Below are 22,861 nucleotides of genomic sequence, written 5' to 3' on the forward strand. Positions count from 1 at the left end.
TCTGGTTCACCGTGCGCACAAGTGTAACAGTTGTTTTTGTTTAAAGAGTGAACGGAATATTTCATTTATTTTAGCCAGGCATTTATATTTTGATGTCTTGTTGTTTGCCTTAGGTTTTTTACTTTTACTATAGAGACTTTGGTTTTGTTATTTGGTAAGAGAGGAGTGATAACTAAACAGGCATTAAAAGTAATAATTTGAGGTGAGTTAGATTTAGTTACATTAATAAGATGGGAAGTAGTTGAAGGAGAGAAAAGATAGATAAAGTTTTTTTAGTTTTAATTTGGTAGGGCTTGACCCTGGAGCAATGGCCTATGACTTTTATGGTGATGACATTTTCTCGACTTGGGTACGACGTGTTAATTTATTTTTTTGCTGTGCGAATGGCAGTCTTGGTGGTCAGCAGCTTAAGGTAGGTTTCTTCCTAGGCTGGCTTGCATTTTTCTTTTTTTTACATCTTTCGATAAGGACGTGGTTTTCAAGCTGGTGCTGGTGTACTGGAAATGTTAGGGGTGGTACCTGTGCTAAAAGGCTTTTAGTTTTGAGGGAAGGGAAAGTGGAAAATAAGTATATAATTTTTGAGAAACTGATTTTTTGTTTTAAATGTGGGGACATTAGCAGTAGAATGTAAGTAAGGCAAACTATAGGTATTTTTTGGTCTATAAGTCCTTAGTGCCTTCTTAAGTTTTTTTTTTTTTAACTTTTTCTTATGTTGCTTTTGAAGGAAACTTTGGGGTTTTTTCTTAGAACTTTGTACATCTTGGGGCTTGAGGCCCCATAGTGACACCTCCAACTCCTTCCCCGCTGAGCGCTGCCTAGGGGACGCGGCGGCCTGGCTCCCCTTAAGGTCTTGGCCTCCCTGTGGCCTTTATTGCTCCCTTGCGTTGTGGCCTTAGGGATGAGTGGCCCTGTGACTTACCTGGCAGCCCTCGGACCTTGCTCCTGCCCAAGCCCCTGCCGTTGGGCCCCGGTGTTGGGTTCGGTTGTGCTGTCTAACGGCTGCCTGGCCCCCTCCCCCCTCCCCTGTACAGGAAGTGTCTGTTGGCGGCTAGGTCCCCCACCAGATGGCTCATGCTGTGGCCACTCTAGGAGCAGCTGGAGGTGGAAACTCGTTGGTATTAACCCTGTGCTGGAGGGCCCTTAATGGGTTTTTTGATGCAATTGGAACAAGATTTATTTATTTTTTATACGGGGCTTAGATAACATTTCTCTTTGGTTTAGCAATATTTATTTTCATTTGGAAAATTTTTAGCACCTATTTTTATTAGTTTTTAGAATAAAGAAAGTCAAACATCATTTTATGTTTGATAATGTTTCCTGTATGATTTTATAAGAGATAAGTTAAATTTTACCTTTATATTAGTGTACTATTAATGTTAAACTACATTTTAATAAAACCTTGTAGATATTATTTAATTTTAACGTTTGACTATAAGGTAAGATTTTTATAGATTCTTTTTAACCCTTTATAATTTTTGTTAAAGAGCAGGTTAGTGCTTTAAGAAAAACCTATTGTGCTTTTATTTTTATGTTCAGTTCATAGAAAAACTGGATGATACCCCTTTAACTTTAGCCGATATGTTTATACACAGAATTTTTTTTATAATTAACATTTTAAAACTTGCTTAAACTTTTAAAACAAATTTTTTTGACCTTTTAATGTAGGTAAGAATTCAAATTTTTATGCCTCTTTATAATCCTTTTATTAAAAGTGTATTTTATTTTCCTTATACACCTTGCACATAAACTTAATAGTTTTACATTTAGGAGGCCAAATTAGTTTTAAATTATATAATATGTTTTGCATAAATTCTTTTTATAGCATTTTTTATGACTTTTACAGATAATTTTTGACATGCCTTAACATTTTGCCTTCCTTTTATACTATTTATTTTTTTAGTATTATCCTTTTTTCAAAATTTCTGTTTTTTCCAATCTTTCTTATTTTTTCCATTTCTCTATTTGCGTTCTTTTTTTTTTTTCTTTCTGTCATTTCCTGGTTTCTTCCTCATTCCCGAGTTCTCCTGCTCCTGCAGCTGGCAGGCCGGGCAACGGCATGGGTACTGCCCCTGCGCACGCACTGCCGTCCATCTCTTTTGTTTTTTTCTGATTTTCCTTTTTAGTTTTTCCCTTCTCTCCTCACACTTACTTTTTTGGGCTGGGTGGGATTTGCGCAGCCGTAGTCCAGCCCCAGGAAGTTGGTGCCCTGTTGAGCTCACCGCTTTCTTCTGGATAACTCCGATCTCAGCCTTATTCCAAGTCTTAACAGTGTCTTCTCATCCTTAGTCTCCTAGCCACTGTATACCTTCTTTTCCGTCTCCTGCCGTCCTGAGGACACCCCATCCCTAAGTCTTTGCTAAACTGTCCTGAACTCTTACTGCCTCCTTTCCTACCACCCTCACCCAATCTTGTTAAAAAATGACATCTCCGTGTCCTTTCACCCCCGCTGACACCACCGCATGTCTTTACCCCAACTCTGCGTCCATTGCTTCCCTCGACCCCACTCCCATTCAACCTGAGAACTTAGTGCAGAGTCTCCTTCCACCAGCTGCCCCTCAACAGCCAAATGTAGGTGCTCACTCAGACCCACAGTTAGAGACTGAGCAGCATGATTGGTGGGTGCAGGGGCTCAGGTGGTAAATAAGGGTGGAGGAGCAGTGGGCTCTCCCCAACTCTTGGGTCAGCCGGGGTTTTTCCTGGCATCTGGTCTCCTGCACCTGTCCTCAGGGATTGTGTTTCTGGCATTCATATTAAATGACTTGTGCTGGCTGCTGGAATGGTAGGTATCATTCAAATATCTGGAAGGTGAGAGATGGCCACTCACTCAGCTCACTTAGCACAGAATGATGGAAGCTGCCCCTTCCTTCTGGTTGGTGTTCTTGCCCTGGAGAGCCTCTGGGAAGTTCTGTGTGGTGTTGGCTGTGGTCACAGAATATTGTTCATGTTTCTTTTCCTGGCATTTGTAAGGGCCTCTCCCTGCCAGAGCTGATGGCAGATCAATCCTGATGCCAAATTCAGGGGATGTGATGGGTGCCAGAGGCAATGTTACCTGTTGTGAAGAGTATAGGTGAGTAGGTCCTGGGGAGGCTGAGGCCTAGGTGGGTACAGAGGCTCTTGAATGGCTTTCTTTTCTTATAAGTGCTGGATCATTGACTTTTGGCCATCTGGGTTCCATGAACACAGGGAACCATGTTATCTCAGAGTAGCTGAGGCAGAAGGACATTCCAGAGGCACCCAAGTCCCATGCTAGCATTTAGTTTCCTGGGGGCTTTTTGGTACACATGTTCTCTGAATCCTGAGGACCTGGCATCAGATGGGTGGGCCATTTGACCACAGTTTTAAAGGGCCCCAAAGAACCTTGTCTCTGCTTGCCATTTATAGTCTTATTCCGTTGAAAAAATGAATGCTGTTTACCTTCAATGTCCTCCCATTAGTATATTTAAGTTGGTTTCAGCCTTATTGGCAGCTTGACTTAATGGAAGGAGCTCCACAGTCATCTTAACACTTCAGAGTTATATACCCCAACTTCCCACAGTGTGTGAAATGGAGATACCTGCCCCGTGCCTCATTTTTATTTTATTAATCAATTCATTCAACAGCTTATTTTTTGAGCACCAGTGTGTGCCAAACACTGGTGAATGGGTCAGGCAATGGTCCTGTTTTCATTCAGAGTTTGGTCCTTGTTAGAATCCTCTGGGATATGGGACAAGAATATAGAGAAGATTCTGCCCTCATCCACTAGCCCTGAGTCTGGGAATCACAAGCTAGAAGTTTCTCACCCTTCATCTGGTATTTAATTACTTCAAAGCTCCAACCCCCACCACCCCACCCATCACAGAAATCCAACTTTCCTCAGGTGGACAGAGGTGCGGTTTCCTCAGTCAGCACTCACATGCCTGAAAGATCAGCTGCCTTTCTGAATCAGAGGGTAACTTTGTCATTCTTTTCCAATTGAAAAAACGTGACTCATCAATTGGTACAGCAGTTGGATGGCTTAAAGCCAGGCTGTGGCTCTGAACAGCCAGGTACACAATTCAGGCAGTGGAGAGAAGGCCGTAGGGAGTGGCTGAGAAGTCCCTCAAGAGAAGAGGTTGCTGTTCACTGATGGTAGAGTGTTTTGAGAGTGGTGAAACCAGGTTATCCCTTTCTTCTTTTAACGTAAGTCTCATCCAAGTCACTCTCTTTTTTTGCTTCCTTGATCTCTGGAGGAAGTGAAATTGGACATATAGAGAAGGCCAGGCAGTATAATGCAGGAAACCAACTGGAACTGTTCCTTCCTAACTATGTTGGAACATTTAAGAAAGTATAGCTCTGAGACTTCAGGAGCATTGGTAGGACCTGGTCTCAGCTGGTTGGGGCTATAAATCTGATTGGCAGAACTGTTTCATGTTGGTTTCTGACCTTCTGTGATGAAATGGAGCTTCCGAGTACCTCTGAGGAGGAAGTAATAGTTTGCCTGAAATTCTTTGAGCCAAAGACCTGAGGCCATTTGGTCCAGGGGAAGATGCGGGAGTTGGGATGAAGAAACCATATGTTTCTTTGACATATTTTGGAATGGCCCTGCAAAGCCATCTCTTGTGGGGGAAATTTATATCCTGCAGACTCCCTTCCCTTTCTAGGCCTTTTCCTGATCTAGGAGAGATTTAACTAAGAGTCTGACACTTTTTAGGGTCTGATAAGAGACCATCTGTCATCTCCCATGTGATGATAGACCAGTCAGGTTGGAGTTGGTATCTTAATTGCTGAGAGTCTGTTCTGTCAGTCTTAGGATTCTGTTTTAATGTTAATGCTGGTCAGTTGTGTCTAAGCTCCAAAAGGGAGAGGCTAGGATGAGGCATGGCCCACGCCCCACTTCCTGTCATGGCCTACGCCCCACTTCCTGTCATGGCCTGAACTCAGTTTTTAGGTTTTTTCAAAATCCCTTTGGCCAAGAGGGGGTTCATTCAGGCAGTTGGGAAGCTTAGAATTTTATTTTTGGTTTACAGCACTCACTCAGGAATTGGGTTTTTCTAGGGCTGGGGTTGGCTTCCTCCTGGGGGCTGGTGGTGGAGTCAGGCCACTTATTAGCCCTGGGACCTCAGGAACTTCCTTGACCTGGGTCAGCTGCCATTTCCTTATCTGTCAGGTGGAGACAATAAAACAGCACTCCTAGGGTCCTTAGGAGGAACATAAATTAGGCAATATATGTAAAGAGAACTGAGCCCATTTAACTTTTCTTGGTTTTGTTAACTTCTTTTTTTTTTTTTTTTTTTTTTTGAGACGGAGTCTCTCTGTCCCCCAGGCTGGAGTGTAGTGGCACGATCTTGGCTCACTGCAACCTCCACCTCCCAGTTTCAAGCGATTCTCCTGCCTCAGCCTCCTGAGTAGCTGGGACTACAGGGTGCGCCACCATGTCGGCTAATTTTTGTATTTTTAGTAGAGACGGGGTTTCACCATGTTGGTCAGGCTGGTCTTGAACTCCTGGTCTCGTGATCTGCCCACCTCAGCCTCCCAAAGTGCTCACAGGTGTGAGCCACTGCGCCCGGCCGGTTTTGTTAACTTCTTTATGCGGTGATTGTTTGAGAGCTGAGAGACAGCCATCACCTTTCCCGGCGTTCCCCTGATGCTCAGCCAGGCATTTGGGACAGATTTGTTTACGTGTGAATGTGCCTCCCTAGCCCAGGTCTGTCCAAGTTGCTGGGGTGGGGCCAAGCCAGCCAGCAGTCCCCTCAGGCACAGGCCAAAGTCCCCACCCCACCCCACCACAGCCCACCCATTCCCAGGAGGAAGCTGGCAGCCCTGAGGGATTTAACCACTCACTGATTTCAACTCTTCCTGCATACCCATTTAGGCGATGACATTCTTGGTCTGTACACTTAGGTGGCCACATCCACTGGGATGACAGATACCAGGTACAACATATCAGGTACAGGTACATATCAGGCCTCGTGACAGGCATTTTACACATTCTCCATCTGAGAGGTCTGAGCATGCCTACCTGGTTAGTGGCAAACTGCGATGAGACCTCATGGTCATCCCGGTTAGACACGTCCCTGTCTGTGCTGCTCAAGCCAGACCCTCGAAGCCTAAAGGAGAAGCAGAAGTGTTTCCCTTTCAAAGTCATTCCAGTCGTACTTTTTAACTACTGAGGTGACAGATGTTGGACTGGGACAGGAATGAGGGGTGGGGGGAGGGTGCTGCAGGACTCAGCCCCTGAATGTGACTTGTGAACCCCTGCTTCCTGGTCCCAGTGGGTTCCTGCCACCTTCAGCTGCAGCCTCCACCTCGAACCCACAGCTCTGTATTTGAATCAGCCTGTCATTCCCTGCTTACGGGTTTAGATCCTACAGGGCCCTGGCTTTCTGGGCAGCATTTGATGTGAAGCGCCCTTACCACCTACTCCTTGGGGTGGACCCACCCCTGGCACCCAGGACTCCTTGCCTCCCAAGGACTGAGCCCCCTGGGCTTTCCTTCCTTGCTTCCTTCTTTCAAATCCACTCTCAATTTTTACTTTCGTGTTCCTCAAAGGCCTTTCGGTTGTGGTTTAAGGGGGGCTGACCTCCTACTGCTTGCTGGGAATGGACTCTGGCTGGGGGGAAGTTGCCTGCCCATTCATCTGGCTGCCATCTGTCTCTTCAGATGTCATGTGATTCTCTGAGGGAGCAGCTGCGTGAGTGGAGATGCTCTCAGTGGTGGAAAATGGACTGGACCCCCGGGCTGCCATCCCGGTAGGTGGGTGAGGGAGGAGCAAGTAATAAAATAAATAAAACATATTCTACCATAAGGAGCTTATGTTCATCTGGCCTTGGACAGACAAGTAGACAAAGTATTATGACAGTGCTATAACAGAAGTTGAGAGAAGGTGATGTCAGAGCAGAAAAGAGCCTAACTGAAGAGACTGATGAAAGTGAGGCTTTACAGAGGAGGTCTACATAATTACTTAACATTCCCCAAAATATATTTAATGTATTTTGAGCTATACTTATTCATTAACTATACACTTAATGACTTTGCCCTTTTCTGTATACAATGTTTCATATGCCACAATAACATTTATTTCGGATAAAGTTTACTCATGTTTAATAACCATGAAAAGAAAGGTTAGCATTAGCTGAGAAAACTTCATAATGTTCTACTCCACACCTGTCATGGCTACCCCAACATGGGCTTCCCTAACATTCCAGGTTTAAACTGGGTCAGTGTTGAATAGCTGTGGCATTAGCCTGGTGCCAATAAACTTAGGGCTGCTGTACTATGAAATAGCAACCGGTAGAAGCCGAAGAAAAAGATCAAGAGTCTCCTTTTCCTTCGCCATGTCCCGAGTCAGAGCCAGGATCATGCTTAGGCTGCACAGGCCTAGAAAACTCCAAGGGTGAAGCAAGCTTCTGCTTTACACAAGGACCAAAGGAACTGGAATGGGTCACAGTTACATGCAACCTTAATACCTCCTAAGTGATTCCTCTGTGGATGAACCCTCTCTTAACTGTATTTGCAATACAGCTAACAGGCAATTTCACATACTTCCTTACATCACTCTATCAGGTCAATCTTCCCTATGCACCTCAAAATAAACCAGTGACCCCACTGCAGACCAGTTCCACAAGAATTACTCTGGGCTTCCTGAACAAGATAGCTGTCTACAATGCTTTAAAAACCCTATTAAGATGAGAACCTCAACACCTTTAAAAAAATTTTGGAGAGAAAGGTGTCCTAAGCTTCTGCAGTTCCCATTCAGCTCCTTCCGTATTCAAAAGTTTCAATGCTCTTCCACCTCCCATCCTCAATAACATTTCCATCCTCAACTACAGCTGTGTAATCTCAGAAAGTAGTCAGGAGAAGGGATTTTTAAAAACAACCTAAGGGTCAAGCCAGTGCTTCTGGGAGGCCAAGGCAAGGAGGATCACTTGAGGCCAGGAGTTTGAGACCAGCCTGGGCAACATAATGAGACCACATCTTTACAAAAAAAACCTTTAAAAATTAGCCAGGCATAATGGCACTCGCCTGTGGTCCCAGCTGCTTGTACTTGCAAGGCTAAGGTAGGAGGATAGCTTGAGCCCAGGAGTTTCAGGTTACAAGGAACTATGATCTGGCCATTGCACCTCAGCCTGGGCAACAGAGCAAGACCCTGTCTCTTACAACCTGCTTAGTCCCTATTCTTTCCCCTTATTTAGCAGGTGTGAAATTTCAATAAACAAAATTTTCAATAAATAAATATGTTTCAGTGAAATGATGAAAAGGACACAACAGCAAAGTATGTTAGAAAAAAAATGCTTTGGAATCAGATAAAAGGTCCTGAGTTTAAATTTAGTTCTGCCTTTTACAAGCCTCTGAAGATTTACTCTGAACATTAAACAAACATACATAAGTAAACCTTTAATTAGTATACACTCAAGGTACATACATTGTTTTCCTTTCTCCTTCTAAAGCATGGAAGAGATTTTTTTTTTAAATAAGCTGACAAAATATGAAAATTAAAAGAACACAACCGCATGCAGAAGTAGCACAGAGGACTTCCTAGAAATTGTATTCTTTCTCCAGGGAGCAACAAGAATCGTTATTCCCAAAAGGGACTCTATTCACTTCACAGCTTGGAAGGTAATACCTACCTCTGACAGAACAGAAACTGGCGTCTGGATCCTAGAATCACCTAGCAGTAGTCACAAATACCTTTTTTTTTTTTTTTTTGGTAATACGCCACTTAAAGAAAATTAATGTTAACATGCAACAAAGTAAATCCTTAAAAAGAAAAAGAAAAGCCCCACCATCCCTGCAATCTCCCACCCAAAGACAAATTATAACTCAACAGCCTATCACCAAGATTCAGCCCATCATCTAGATTCATCTAAAAAAAAAAAGGCCTGTACAACCCAGGAAGCACTGGCAAATCTTGGTGCAGCAGGGAAAACATGAACACCAACCCACTTAACCAAAACACATAAGAAAAAATTTCTTCCATTTCAGTAACTAAAAAACAAAACAAAAAAACAACAAGCACTTAAAGTGATTACTAACTTGAGCAATAGCTCTGCACCCTGATACTCAAATCTCAGCTCTGCACTCACTTGGATGTATAACCGTGAACAAACTACTTGACTGCTCTGATCTTCCATTGTTTATCTTGAAAATCGTGAATGAGAGTAAAATGCTTAGCACAGTGCCTGGCATATCACAAGTGCTCAAAAACTTCTATTAATTATAGTGTTACATAAAGACTAAATGCATGTGACTATATCATTGGGGGGAAATTCCATGGCTTGTTAGAGCGAGTTGAATATTCTCTTCCAAATTTATGTTCGCTCAGAACCTGTGAATATGACCTTGTTTGGAAACAGGGTCTTTGCAATTGTAATAAAGTTATGATGAGCCTTTTAGTGTGGGCCCTAAATTCAATATGACTGATGTTCTTCTAACATGGAAATCTGGACACAGATGCAAAGAGAAAGATGGTCATATGAAGATGGAGGCAGCAACTGGAGTGATGTAGCTACAAGCCAAGGAACACCAAGGACTGGCACAACACCAGAAGCTGGAAAAAGACAAGGAAGGATTCTTCCCTAGAGCCTCCAGAGAGAGCATGGCCCTGTTAACACCATTATTTCAGACTTCTGGCCTCCAGAATGGTGGGAGAACACATTTCTGATTTTTTAAGCCATCTTCTTTAAGTAAAAGATTATCTATGATGTTGTATTTTACAGACCAAGAAACTGAAGCTCAGAAATGTTGAGTGACTTTTCTTGTCAAGGTTCATGTTAAATAGCTGTGACATGTAAGCATCTGGTAGTAAAGCCATGACTAGAAGCAAAACTTTACCAAGTCCAAGTATGGTGCTTAATACAATTCGCTTTGAATGATGAAACTCTTGGACAATCAGCATACATTCATGTGCCAAATAACATTATGGTCAATGACAGACCACATAAACAATGATGGTCTTATAAGATTGTAATACAGCTGAAGAATTCCTATCTTAGCACAAAGCACTACTCATGTGTTTGTGGTGATGCTGGTGTAAAGAAACCTACAGTGCTCCTATTCATATAGAAGTATACCACATACAATTATGTCCAGTAAGAATATAATAGTTGATAATAAGAACTATGTTACTTTTTTTTTTTTTTTTTGAGACGGAGTCTCACTCTGTTGCCCAGGCTGGAGTGCAGTGGCGCAATCTCGGCTCACTGCAAGCTCCACCTCCTGGGTTCACACCATTCTCCTGCCTCAGCCTCCCGAGTAGCTGGGACTACAGGTGCCTGCCACCACACCCAGCTAATATTTATATTTTTAGTAGAGACGGGGTTTCACAGTGTTAGCCAGGATGGTCTCGATCTCCTGACCTCATGATCCGCCCGCCTCGGCCTCCCAAAATGCTGGGATTACAGGCGTGAGCCATTGTGCCTGGCCAAGAACTGTTAACTGTTAAAAAAAAAAAAACTTATTTTTTATGATAAGAAGAAGTGTTATGTATTTACTGTACTGTACTTTTAATCGTTATTTTAGAGTGTACTTCTACTCAATTAAAAAACAGTTAACTGTCGGGCCGGGCGTGGTGGCTCACGCCTGTAATCCCAGCACTTTCGGAGGCCTAGGCGGGTGGATCACGAGGTCAGGAGATTGAGACCATCCTGGCTAACATGGTGAAACCCTCTCTCTACTAAAAAAATACAAAAACAATTAGCTGGGTGTGGTGGTGGGCACCTGTAGTCCCAGCTACTCAGGAGGCTGAGGCAGGAGAATGGCGTGAACCCGGGAGGCGGAGCTTGTAGTGAGCCAAGATCATGCCACTGCACTCCAGCCTGGGCAACACAGTGAGACTCCATCTCAAACAAAACAAAACAAAAAAAACCCAGTGAACTGTGAAACAGCCTCCAACAGGTCCTTCTGTTGGCACTGTCACAGGCGATGAAAGCTCCGTGTGTGTTGTTGCCCCTGAAGACCTAAGAGTGGAACAAGATGTGAAGGTGGAGGACAGTAATTCCGACAAATCTGACACTGTGTGGGCCTACGTTCATGTGTGTGTTTGTGTCTTAGTTTTTAGCAAAACAGTTTAGGTAGAAAAAAGCTTGTAGGATAAGGTGTGAAGAAAATATTTTTGTACAATTACAATGTGGTTGTGTTTTAGGCTAAGTGTTATTACAAAAGAGTCAAAAAGTTTTAAAATTTTAAAAGTTAATAAAGCAAAAAGTTACAGTAAGCTAAGGCTAATTTATTATTGAAAAAATCTTTAAAATAAATGTAGTGTAGCCTCGGTGTTCAGTGTTTATGAAGTTTATAGTAGTGTACAGTCATGTCCTAGGCCTTTCACATTCAGCCACCCTTCACCCGCTGACTCACCCAGAGCAACTTCCAGTCCTGCAAGCTCCATTCATGGTAAGTGCCCTATACAGGTGTACCATTTTTATCTTTTCTACTATATTTTTACTGTATTTTTTCTATGTTTAGATATGTTTAAATACATAAATCTTTACCACTAGTTGCCTATACCATTCAGTATAGTAGCATGATGTACTTGTTTATAGCCTAGGAGCAATAGGCTATACCATGTTCTCTAAGTGTATAGTAGGCCATACCACCTCAGCTTATATGTATGTAAATATGTATGTATTTGAGACAGTCTCGCTCTGCCCTTGCCCAGGCTGGAGTACAGTGTCACGATCTTGGCTGACTGCAGCCTCCATCTCCCGGGTTCAAGTGATTCTCCTGTCTCAGCCTACCAAGTAGGTGGGGTTATAGGCACTCGCCACCACACCTGGCTAATTTTTTTTTGTATTTTTAGTAGAGATGGGGTTTCACCATGTTGGCCAGGCTAGTCTCGAACTCCTGGCCTCAGGTGATTCACCCACCTTGCCCTCCCATGCCTCGGCCTCCCAAAGTGCTGAGATTATAGGCGTGTGCCACCACGCCCAACCCTCAGCTTGTATTTAAGTACACTCTATGACATTCACACACCAATGAAATCACCTAACAACACATTTATCGGTTTCCCTTTCGTTAAGCAATGTGTGACGGTATACACAAAACTCCAGATTATTTTCCAGATATTTAGAAATACTTTTCAGATATTTTGAAAGTTTCTGAAAACTGCTCTGTCATTACTTCTGAGTGATGAGCTGAAGAATAAAGCATGAACCAAATGAGGTATCTTCTTATACACAGCTAGTGAGACTATAAACTGACACGACCAAAATACTTCTCTAAAGTATGCATTAAGAACATAAAAGAGCATTCATACCTTTGACTAAGATAAAGATGTTTATCATGGCATACTTAATTTTAATAATAAACGTAACTTAAATAGTCAACGAGGAAAGCCAATAGCAGGCAGCCATTAAAAATGTTTTCCAAAAACCAACTGGGAAATATTCAGGGCACATATATAACATGACTGTGTTTAAACAAATTATTCATGTGCTAGGAAAATGTACCATAATGTGGGTAGCGAGATAATTTTGAGCTGTTGGTTTTGTTTTGTTTTGTTTTGGGGGGGCGGGGGGAGGGTGTGTCTTTTATACTTCTGTGTAATTTCAAAGTTTCCTGAGAATTGATACACAGTATTTCTTCAGTTCTAAGAGGTACTTTCCCCACGTCAACAACTTTTAAAACAAGATGCATCTTACAATTGCTGTTATGCCCTAGTTTAATGGAAATAATTTCTTTGTTGTACTTAAAATAATGGTACATCTTACAATCAATAGCATCTTAAGTTCTATGAAGTGTGGCAGTTTTATAACAGGCAACTAAAATAACATAACATATACACATATATAAACTTACATATATATATTTATGAATGTATATAAAAAGATGAAGCAACACTTATGACTACTATTGTACTAATCTCAGTTGTTACTAAGAGACTCTAGTTCTCAAATATAGAAATTCCCACTTAACTACTGGCTATAAAAACCTAGAAACAGACACCGAAGAGGTGTCTCTGATAGAGAAAGACTGTGTTTTTCTCCTCAGTACAGGCATATCCAGTCACCTCCTAGTTATTCTTAGTCACCAATCCAGTTCAAGTTCTACAAATCTCACTTTAAAATTTCCTTTGTGAAGAGTTGAGAAAGCAAAATATTGACCAAATCTAGAATGTTTATTAGTTTTGTTCTAGCTAATTTTTAAATAAGTAAATCAGGATTTAGCTAATTTTTAAATAAGTAAATCAGGATTTAATTTTTACACTACCCTAAGGGAATAAATTAATAATAAAAACTGTGTCCTCAATTAAAGTAGCTCTATCAAATGTTTGGAAAATATATATATATATATATATATATATATATATATATATATATATATATATATATATATGTATCTCCAATCTGGAAAGAAGGTAGAAGTCTCCAGTGAAATTTTTGGAATAAAAGTTTAAATGATTAGACAGCCCACAGAACTTTCACTTCAAACCCTGATCATTCTGTTCATTTTATCAGTTGATCAACCGTTAACTTTTGGCCTACTAATTTAACGGATACTGTTCACAGGAAAGCCATTTTCTTAAGGCTTTGACTAGTACTAAGGTCAAAAAGGCATTTTGACCCTTATTTTTAGTAGCCACAGACTTTTTCTAGACATGGGTCTAGATAAAGATAGAGCTCAGCCATACCAAGCTAATATAAAAAATACTTTGCAAGAATGTAAGCTTCATGAAGGTAGGATTTTTGTTCACTATTGTGACCCTACTATGGAGAACGCTGCTGAGACATAGTAGGCACTTTTCCATAAATCTAACAAATATGACAGTTACATCAATGGCTTGCTTGCATTATACAGCATTTTTCTTGTTTCCTGTTAACTCAGATACCCACACTGTTTTGTTCTAAATACACGTTCAATTAACCATTATATTCTAATAGTGTTTTCCTTTTAATGAGACAAGGTCTTAGTTGCCCAGGCTGGAGTGTGGTGGCACAATCTTGGCTCACTGCAACCTCCACTTCATGGGCTCAAGTGATCCTCCCACTTCAGCCTCCTCAGTAGCTGGGACTACAGGCACGTGCCATCATGCTCAGCTAATTTTTGTATTTTTTGTAAACACAAGGTCTCACTATGTTGCCCAGGCTGGTCTCGAACTCCTGAGCTCAAATGATCCTCCTGCCTTGGCCTCCCAAAGTGCTGGGATTACCAGAGTGAGCCACCACGTGTGATCCCATCAGGTTCTTAAACAAATTAAACCACTATATCAGGTCATTAAACCACTTGTCTTGAAATAGTTAAAAAGGGGGTTATGGGGAGGGGATTACCAAAGAGGTGGGAGGGGATGGGAGAAAAGCAATAATGATAGTTTTCAGCTGTACTAAAAAACACCAGACACCTATCCCTTATTAGCACATATCTGTTTGTAAATGTCTGTTTGCTGACGAATTTGATATTCCAAGTCAGAAACATGAGCCTGAAGCCAGTTCCAGCAGCTGACAATAGCTGCCCGGTCTGCAGCCCATCTCCATTCTGACCTGTGTCTCCTAAAAAGAAATAAATTGAGTGAAGTCCAAGAGTAGTAGTAATATCTATACCAGACTTGGGGGTGGAGGGTGGAATTTAACTTCTAAAGGCCCTTGCAGAGACTAACTCTAGTGTCAAGAAAAACCCAAAACAGACAGAGACAGATACCCCCCACTCCTCAGGATGCACATGGATATAAACTTTCAAATAGGTATTTCCCAAATTAAGTGGAACTGCCTTCTACCATCCTGATCCTGCGGCACACGGTTTCTCTGAAATTGCATTAATTTCTCTAGAGATAAAAATATTGTCCATGTTAAAATAAAACATATATTAAGAATAATCTATACAGGAAATCCAACTGACAATAAGAACTATTAAAACTAATAAAGAATTTAGCAAAAGTGTTCAGTAAAGAATATTTGAAAACTAATAAAAAAGTAGAAAATATTCATTTTTTAAGTATCATTCATAACAACGACAAAACTAATGATATATTTAAAATCTTTATAGAGAAAACAGTAATGCCTGAAAGCATGAAGCTCTATACAAATGGTAGGATACATTTTTTAAGGATGGTGATTCTCATGAACATCTATAAATTCAAAGAAATTCCAGTCAAATTGCCTACAGTATTTTTAATGAAAGCTGAGAAACAGATCCAAAAGTTCACATGACATAAAGGACCAACAGCAAGAAATTTGGAAGAAGGCATGATGCAAATACACATTACCAGATAGCCAGATTTGCTGCAAAACTGTAGAGAGCCTCAAAACGTAGAACTAGATACATAAAAGATACCGGGAAATTTTCTTTTAATCAGATCAGTGGGGAAAAAATGAAACTATTCAATAGTACTAAACTGGCCAGTTCTTTAGAAGGAAAAAGTAAAATTAGTTCCCTTCTTCATGATATAATTACAAAATTTTGGCACTTCAAATTGCTAAACATGAACAGCCAAACTTAAAAGAACATCTTCGGGACTTAGAGCAGGAAGTATTTCTTAGATAAGACACAAAAATATCACCTACTTTTCAACATGCAATAGAAAATCTAATAAAATTAAAAGGCAAACTGTACTTTGGTGGAAGATATCTAATACATATAACTGAAGATTAAACATCAGAATATGTAACAGAACTCTCAGAAATAGATTAAGAGAGGCCGGGCATAGTGGCTCACAACCTGTAATCCCAGCACTTTGGGAGGCGGAGGCAGGCAGATCACCTGAGGTTGGGAGTTCGAAACCAACATGAACAACATGGAGAAATCCCGTCTCTACTAAAAATGCAAAATTAGTCGGTCGTGGTGGAGCATGCCTGTAATCCCAGCTACACAGGAGGCTGAGGCAGGAGAATCACTTGAACCCAGGAAGTGGAGGTTGTGGTGAGCCAACATCATGCCATTGCACTCCAGCCTGGGCAAGAAGAGCAAAACTCTGTCTCAAAAAAAAAAGAAACAGGTCAAAAGAAAAAATGACAATCTTAATAGAAATAGAAAATTCACATAAAAGGCAAATAATTAATAAATATATAGAAATGTGTCATCTCATTAAAATTTAGTTAAAATGTAAATATTAGGTAAAACATTAAGATGCTGTTTCAAATCTGGATGGGAAAACACGTAGTCCGATAAAGCCAACAGGTGGTGAGAAATGGATAAGTACAATTCATACATTGCTGGTAACAGTTAAAACTGGCAACACCATTTTTGAACAATAATTTGGAAGTACTTGGCTAGGCGTAAAATGTGCATACCCAATCATCATGATATTCTATTTCATTTTTCTTTTGTTTGTTTCTCCTTTTCTGAGAGGCAGGGTCTCACACTCTATCATTGAGGCTGGATTATGGTGGTGCAATCATAGCTCACTGTAACCTAGCGTTCCTTTGCTTAAGCTATCCTCCCACCTCAGTCTCCCAAGCAGCTAGGATCAGGAGCATACTACTGTACCTGGCTAATTTTTTTTTTTTTTTTTTTTTGAGACCGAGTTTCGCTCTTCTTGCCCAGGCTGGAGTGCAATGGCACAATCTCGGCTCTTTGCAACCTCCGTCTCCTGGGTTCAAGCAATTCTCCTGCCTCAGCCTCCTGAGTAGCTGGGATTACAGGCATGCACCACCACACGCGGCTAATTTTGTATTTTTAGTAGAGACGGGGTTTCTCCATGTTGGTCAGGCTGGTCTCAAACTCCTGACCTCAGGTGATCCGCCCACCTCAGCCTCCCAAAGTGCAGGCATGAGCCACTGCACCCGGCCCTGGTTAATTTTTAATAAAAAATTTTGTAGAGATGGGGTCTTGCTGCGGTGTCCAGGTTGCCCTCAAACTCCTGACCTTTGGCCTCCCAAAGACATGAGCCACTATGCCCAGCCATGAAATTCTGTTTCTGAGAACATAAACTATACATTCCTCTGAATGAGGAAACAGGTTCACTGGAGTAGAGTCTCTAACAGCTAAAAACTAATTATATTATAATTCTGTTGAAGTTGGTAAATAGACTATATTCATTTAACAGATCTTTCTATAGTAATAAAAATAAAATTAACTATATGTATCAACATGACTCAATCTCAGAACATATTGTTGAATGAAACAATAAAAAAATACTAAACAAGATTAAGTACACACAAGTAGTAAAGGAATTTGACGAAATACTATCTAGCAATTTAATTACTGTATGTATCAACATGACCTAATCTCAGAAATGAGGAATGCAAAAGCTGAATGAAAACAAAAATAATAAACAGATAAACATTAATAAGCATTGTTACCAATACAGATAAGGGATGAATATATTTTAAAATGCACAGAGCTGATATACAACAAATTTACAATCAAGCTCCTCATTAGCTCTGGAAAGGGGATGGAGAGGTTGGATTTTAGCTCTACTTATAATGTAATGTTTGACTTCTCATGTAAAAACAAAAGATAGAAATGTGACAACATTAACATTCTTTAAATATTAAGACTGGGGTTACATGGTGTCTACTGTATTCCGTAATCAAAATACTTCATAATCCACCACAAAACTGTTTTCCCAGAAAGCAGCAGCAGTCACACAGCCCTCAGCCCCACTTCCCATCAGGATACACACACTCACTACTAAAACTTGTGACTATAGGTGAACTTGAACACAGTCTCCCATAGGGGCAAAATACAAAATGTCAAAAATAAAAAAGAACAAATCTGACCGCAACAGGGTAAGACGTAAATTAAAACTTAATCATACCATAATAATTAAGACCAAGGATAGCAATGGTATTTTAACTTTTGTATGGACCAAACATAAACCATTCAAATCAACCACTGTGATAAAGTATTATCAATTATGTCTCTTCTTTTAGAAAGAAGACATTTTACAGTTCCCTAATTTTGGTGGAACCTCTTCAAGATAAAAAGATACTTTTAAAGTACAGTTATCTGCTTCAATGTTGGCTGCAGGTCTAGCTCTACCCTAAATCCAGGAAATGATCTCAAGAGATCAATAAGAACCTAGGGATCATTCTTGAACAAGAAAAATGCCCCCTACCCACAAAGAGACAAAACTAGTTAACCCTCATATTTTATTCCCACCTTTCCTTACTCTTCAAGGCTTACCACCTTTCTATCCTGCAAAATCTTTTGGATTTATAGATTCCTTTCATTCCTAAAACTACCACCACACCAGGTCCCCATCTATCACCACTGGACAACCCCAACAGCCTCCTTAGCTGCTCTTCCCAACACCAGTCAATCATACTACTTTTCCTCAATCAACTCCCCTCAAACTGTTTTCATCCTGGTATTCTAATGTTTAAGGAACCACACACTTCCTTTGTTTGAAAATAAAAAAGGAAAATAAAATTACTTAAAACATTTTAGTTCACAAGAACTTTGATAAATACATTTTTTCTTGGATATTAATGAAAGTCTTACATCCCCTACACAGGTATTTCCCTAAATAACAATACAAAGTGAGCCTCCTGATAATATGTTTTGGATAATATGGTTAATAAATAACTAAAGAAAGGCAAGGCAGCACTAAGGAATACTAACAATTCCCAATTTATGAACAAGTTTCATTTTACCAGTGTATCTGTGATATGATGGTTTAGAACTGGAAGTGATTTCTAGGAGAAAGTTGTTACAGTATTGTTCTTCCATAATGCTGGCTCAAACTCTGATCATCTCCAATGAAAAATGGAAAACCTCAACTCAAGTGTCCAAAAAGTATCTTGTGTTCAAAATGCCAGCAATATGAGCAGAAAACTAAGCTGTTATTAAACGTGAGAGGTGTACAGTTAACAAGTTTGGAGTAAGTTAGCTTTCATACTCCAGTGGCAGAGCAGAGCATCACAAAATAATATCACAAGAATAAAAGCTTCACATTCTTGTGTTCCTTAAAAACAAGCCATACAAACTCAGCTTATCAGAGGTAAAGATAAGACTTCCTCCTTAACATTCAAAAGGTAAATTTATTACTCTGACAATTTACAGCTCAACAAGGGACATTGATTGAACATTAGGGACATGTTTAATGTTATACTATACAGACTTCAGGAAAGAACACAGGACTAAGGTTGTAGAATGATACTTTAAATACAATGAGGACTTGGTTTCTAATACAGTCATTATCAATAATGAAGAAAATCATGTGGATTCTGACATTGATGAGTCAACTCATTCCTGTTGCTTGTTTCTGTGCTATTAGTAAAATAACTGTTTTAATTATGTGTCTGGGTAGGACACTAGAATGCCTTAGAACATTTGATTTTACTGTGTGCTTTATCCCAGTCCATACAAAAGTATGCGCTGTATGTACTGTAATGATCACCTGAGTGGGAATTCTTTTCAACTCATATTTTGCTCCTTGACTCGCAAGTACTCACTACCTAGCTCAAAAGCAGTGTGAAACAAATAGAGGAAAGATCAGGAGACAAGTTCTCACTTTTACTTACTTTATATGATCCTAAACATATAAATTGATCTCTGGAAATAAGAACAACATCTACTTCACAAAGTTGTGATAGCCATACAATGATGTAATCCTAACTGCAACCTAAAATGTGTGTATTAGATAAGAATAACAATTTATTTAGTCATTATAACCATGGATTAAATTCCATACCAAAAAGGTACAAAAAAGGAAGAAAAACAGGATAAGATTAAAGAAAAACCTCTCAGATAAATTCAGGAAACAAGTGTTTTCAGTTAGCAACAAGCCATATTCTGAGAGTTTCTTGAGCTTTGAACTTTACAGTCATTTAAAAGTTCCACTCTAAACAGAAAAATCAAGGTAGTCTAGTAGAATAGACATTGCATTATTAGTGACATTACCCCCAAATTTGAAACGATGGAGGTAATAAAGCACAAAGAGGAAAAAAGAAGAGAACCAAACTGTCCAGAGTTAAATATCCCACATTTTAGTTGTAAAGTAAAACGCAGGAAGAAACTTGGATACACACTTCGTCTTAACCCATTCTCATCTGTCACATGACCTAGGTTGTGTCAGCTTCCTATAGATACCTGTAGTAATGTGGAACAAATGTACCAGAGCCCATTCTTTTTTTTTTTTTTTTTTTTTTTTTGAGATGGAGTCTCGCTCTGTCACTCAGGCTGGATGCAGTGGCAGCATCTCGGCTCACTGCAACCTCCACCTCTCGGGTTCAAGCGATTCTCCTGCCTCAGCCTCCTGAGTAGCTGGAATTACAGGTCTGTCACAACACCTGGCCAATTTTTGTATTTTTAGTAGAGATGGGGTTTTGCCACGTTGGCCAGGCTGGTCTCGAACTCCTGACCTCAAGTGATCTGCCCACCTCAGCCTCTTAAAGTGCTTGAGTTACAGGTGTGAGCCACCGTGCCCAGCCCTAGAACCAATTATATCTAGACTGCCAGTTCATCCTGACAGACCCTTGAAATTGAACACAGCACTTTTATCTTACTGGTTAGACCAGGTTACCTCTAATACAGAAATGAAATTTGTGTATTTTTGGTAGTTTATTTCAGCCAAGCATTTAGCCCACCATGAACTCACTCTATCCTCCTTCCTTCCATTTAACAAGTATTTAAACAACTATTAGTTACCAAGAGTTAGATGAGGGATACAAAAAGATACAAAAAGAACTGTGGCTCAAGTTCACAATTTAATGTGGAAGATAGATGTTAATAATCAAATAATCATATAAAATGTAAGATAAGAGATCCTAACTATGTCAGATTTAGACTGGGGGATCTAGAAAGACTTGTGATACAAACATTTAAACAGACCTCTGAAGCATAAATTAGGACTTGGATGCGCAAACTGGTAGGGGTTGGGGATGTGGAGCAGAAGATACTAGGTGGAACTGTGGTGTGTCACAAAGAAGAAACGACATGTATACAATGGTTATGTTGTTAGAGCTCCAACAGTGAACAATGAAAAGAATTCATTCAACTTGACAATGGATACAGGTAGGCAGGGCCAGGTCACACAGAACCTGGCAATCCATGTTAATCTTATAAAACAATATAAGCAATCCTCATCTTCCCTCACGCTCTTTTATTTATCTCAGACCCTGTTTGAAGGAAAATTTACAAATACAAGCTAAAAGGTAATAAACTCCCACATAACCAACAACTAATTTCAACTATCAACTTTTGGTGAATCCCACCCTCATCTATAACATCTATCTCCTACCCCTATGAATTATTTTTAAGCCAATTCCCAACATCACATCATTACCTCTAAATATTTCAGTATGTGTTTCTAAAATGTAAGGTCTTTAAAAATAGGTACAGATATATTTCATAATTTAAAAAATAATAATTCCTTAATGTAAAATATCCAGTTACTGGTTAAATTTCCTGGACTGTCTCAGTTGTTTTCTCCAAATCAGAATCAAATAATATCCACACAATTCATTTGGTTAATACATCTCAAGCTTGTAACACGCACCTCCTCTTCCTCCTTTTCCTTCCTCACAATTTGTGGAAGAGACAGCGCTATCTGTCCTCTAGAATATCCTACATTGTGGATTTTGCTGACTGTACCTTTAACACAAAGCCCATACTTTTGAACTTGATAAATTGACACTTCTAGGCTGGGCGTGGTGGCTCATGCCTGTAATCTCAGCACTTTGGGAGGCTGAGGCAGGTAGATCATTTGAGGTCAGGAGTTCAAGACCAGCCTGACCAACATGGTGAAACCCCGTCTCTACTAAAAATACAAAAAAATTAGCCGAGTGTGTTGGCATGGGCCTGTAGTTCCAGCTATGTGGGAGACTGAGGCAGGAGAATTGCTTGAACCCAGGAGGTGGAGGGTGCAGTGAGCCAAGATCATGCCACCGCACTCTAGCCAGGGTGACAGAGTGAGACTCTGTCTCAAAAATAAATAAACAAACAAACTACCTTTAGTAGTTTGATATATTTTGTTTTCTGTAAGTCAGCTCATAAATTATTCTTTTTGTACATTACAGTTTTACATGTTTAAGATTAAGACTGAGATATGTTTTAAAATACACTCAATCTTTAAAGAATCATTTAAGGTACTTTAAACTCCTTTCAATACCCATCAGTCAGATTTTTCATCAAACATGGTAAACATATACATATTATATACTCTGCCTAGCACAATAAAAGAAATGTAATTGTCATACCCTATGCAAATTTCCAACCTGAAAATACCCAGAAGCATCTTATAAACACTGAAACCCACGTCTCTCCAGGAAAGTTTTTCCTTGTGCATCGTACCTCACAATTCACTACTTTGTATTCTTCAAGCTTAGTTGGATCCTCTTATTTTGTTATTTGTTTGTGCTATTATTTCCAAGTCATGTCATGTATACGACTGGTCTCCAACTAGATTATCCTTCCCTTTTTATAGGAACTACCACGTGATTTAACTGTAAAACAATTTCTAATGGTGTCTGCACACATGTAGTTTACAAGTAAATTTGCAAAAAATATAAACAATATGACAGAGATTTAGCTGATGCCTTATCATGTCTAATTCCCAAATGTTTATATTTTAAAAACACCTAACTGAAGTATTCTAATGGAGAAAAAATGGCATGACAAAGAAATATGGAAATGGCTTACAGTTCTTGGCTGGCTGTACGACTGGACATGGAATTTGAGCACGAAGATTTCGAACAAAACACTAGCCTAGTTACTGTGTCTTTTTAATTTTTTTTAGACGGAGTTTTACTCTTGTCGCCAAGGCTGGAGTGCAATGGCGCGATCTCGGCTCTCTGCAACCTCTGCCTCTCCAGTTCAAGCGATTCTCCTGCCTCAGCCTCCCAAGTAGCTGGGATTACAGGTGCCTGCCACCAAGCCAAGCTAATTTTTTTGTATTTTTAGTAGAGACTAGGTTCACCATGTTAGCCAGGCTAGTCTTAAACTCCTGACCTCAGATAATCCACCCACCTTGGCCTCCCAAAGTGCTGGGATTACAGGCGTGAGCACCCGCACCCGGTCTACTCTGTCTTTT

The 22,861-nt window shown here is 40.1% G+C and overlaps 2 long non-coding RNA genes across 44 annotated transcripts in view, besides 2 other annotated features; one reads left to right on the forward strand and one right to left on the reverse strand.

Moving 5' to 3' along the window:
• Positions 1–22,861, reverse strand: part of LOC101927060 (uncharacterized) — a 117,500-nt gene that overhangs the window by 83,709 nt on the left and 10,930 nt on the right. For 39 of the 43 annotated variants that reach the window (XR_007065796.1, XR_007065804.1, XR_007065806.1 and 36 more), the window contains exons 2-3: positions 5,978–6,065; positions 920–5,156 (exon numbers count right to left, since the gene is read on the reverse strand). This is a non-coding gene — a long non-coding RNA (uncharacterized LOC101927060). The remainder of the gene's footprint in view (positions 1–919; positions 5,157–5,977; positions 6,066–22,861) is intronic. The other 4 variants (XR_007065805.1, XR_243711.6, XR_007065812.1 and 1 more) reach the window with 2 other exon arrangements.
• Positions 1,655–2,156: an enhancer, noted in NCBI's record as "H3K27ac hESC enhancer chr17:45145515-45146016 (GRCh37/hg19 assembly coordinates)". NCBI's record gives its function as "activates a minimal SCP1, AML or CMV promoter by ChIP-STARR-seq in primed H9 embryonic stem cells {active_cell/tissue: H9 hESC(primed)}" and the evidence as "EXISTENCE:reporter gene assay evidence [ECO:0000049][PMID:30033119]".
• Positions 2,157–2,656: an enhancer, noted in NCBI's record as "H3K27ac hESC enhancer chr17:45146017-45146516 (GRCh37/hg19 assembly coordinates)". NCBI's record gives its function as "activates a minimal SCP1, AML or CMV promoter by ChIP-STARR-seq in primed H9 embryonic stem cells {active_cell/tissue: H9 hESC(primed)}" and the evidence as "EXISTENCE:reporter gene assay evidence [ECO:0000049][PMID:30033119]".
• Positions 6,619–9,783, forward strand: LOC124904015 (uncharacterized). The gene is made up of 2 exons (XR_007065824.1): positions 6,619–6,707; positions 9,409–9,783. It is a non-coding gene; the product is annotated as an uncharacterized LOC124904015 (long non-coding RNA).

Source organism: Homo sapiens, chromosome 17 (genome assembly GCF_000001405.40).
Source record: "Homo sapiens chromosome 17, GRCh38.p14 Primary Assembly".
Lineage (NCBI taxonomy): Eukaryota > Metazoa > Chordata > Mammalia > Primates > Hominidae > Homo > Homo sapiens.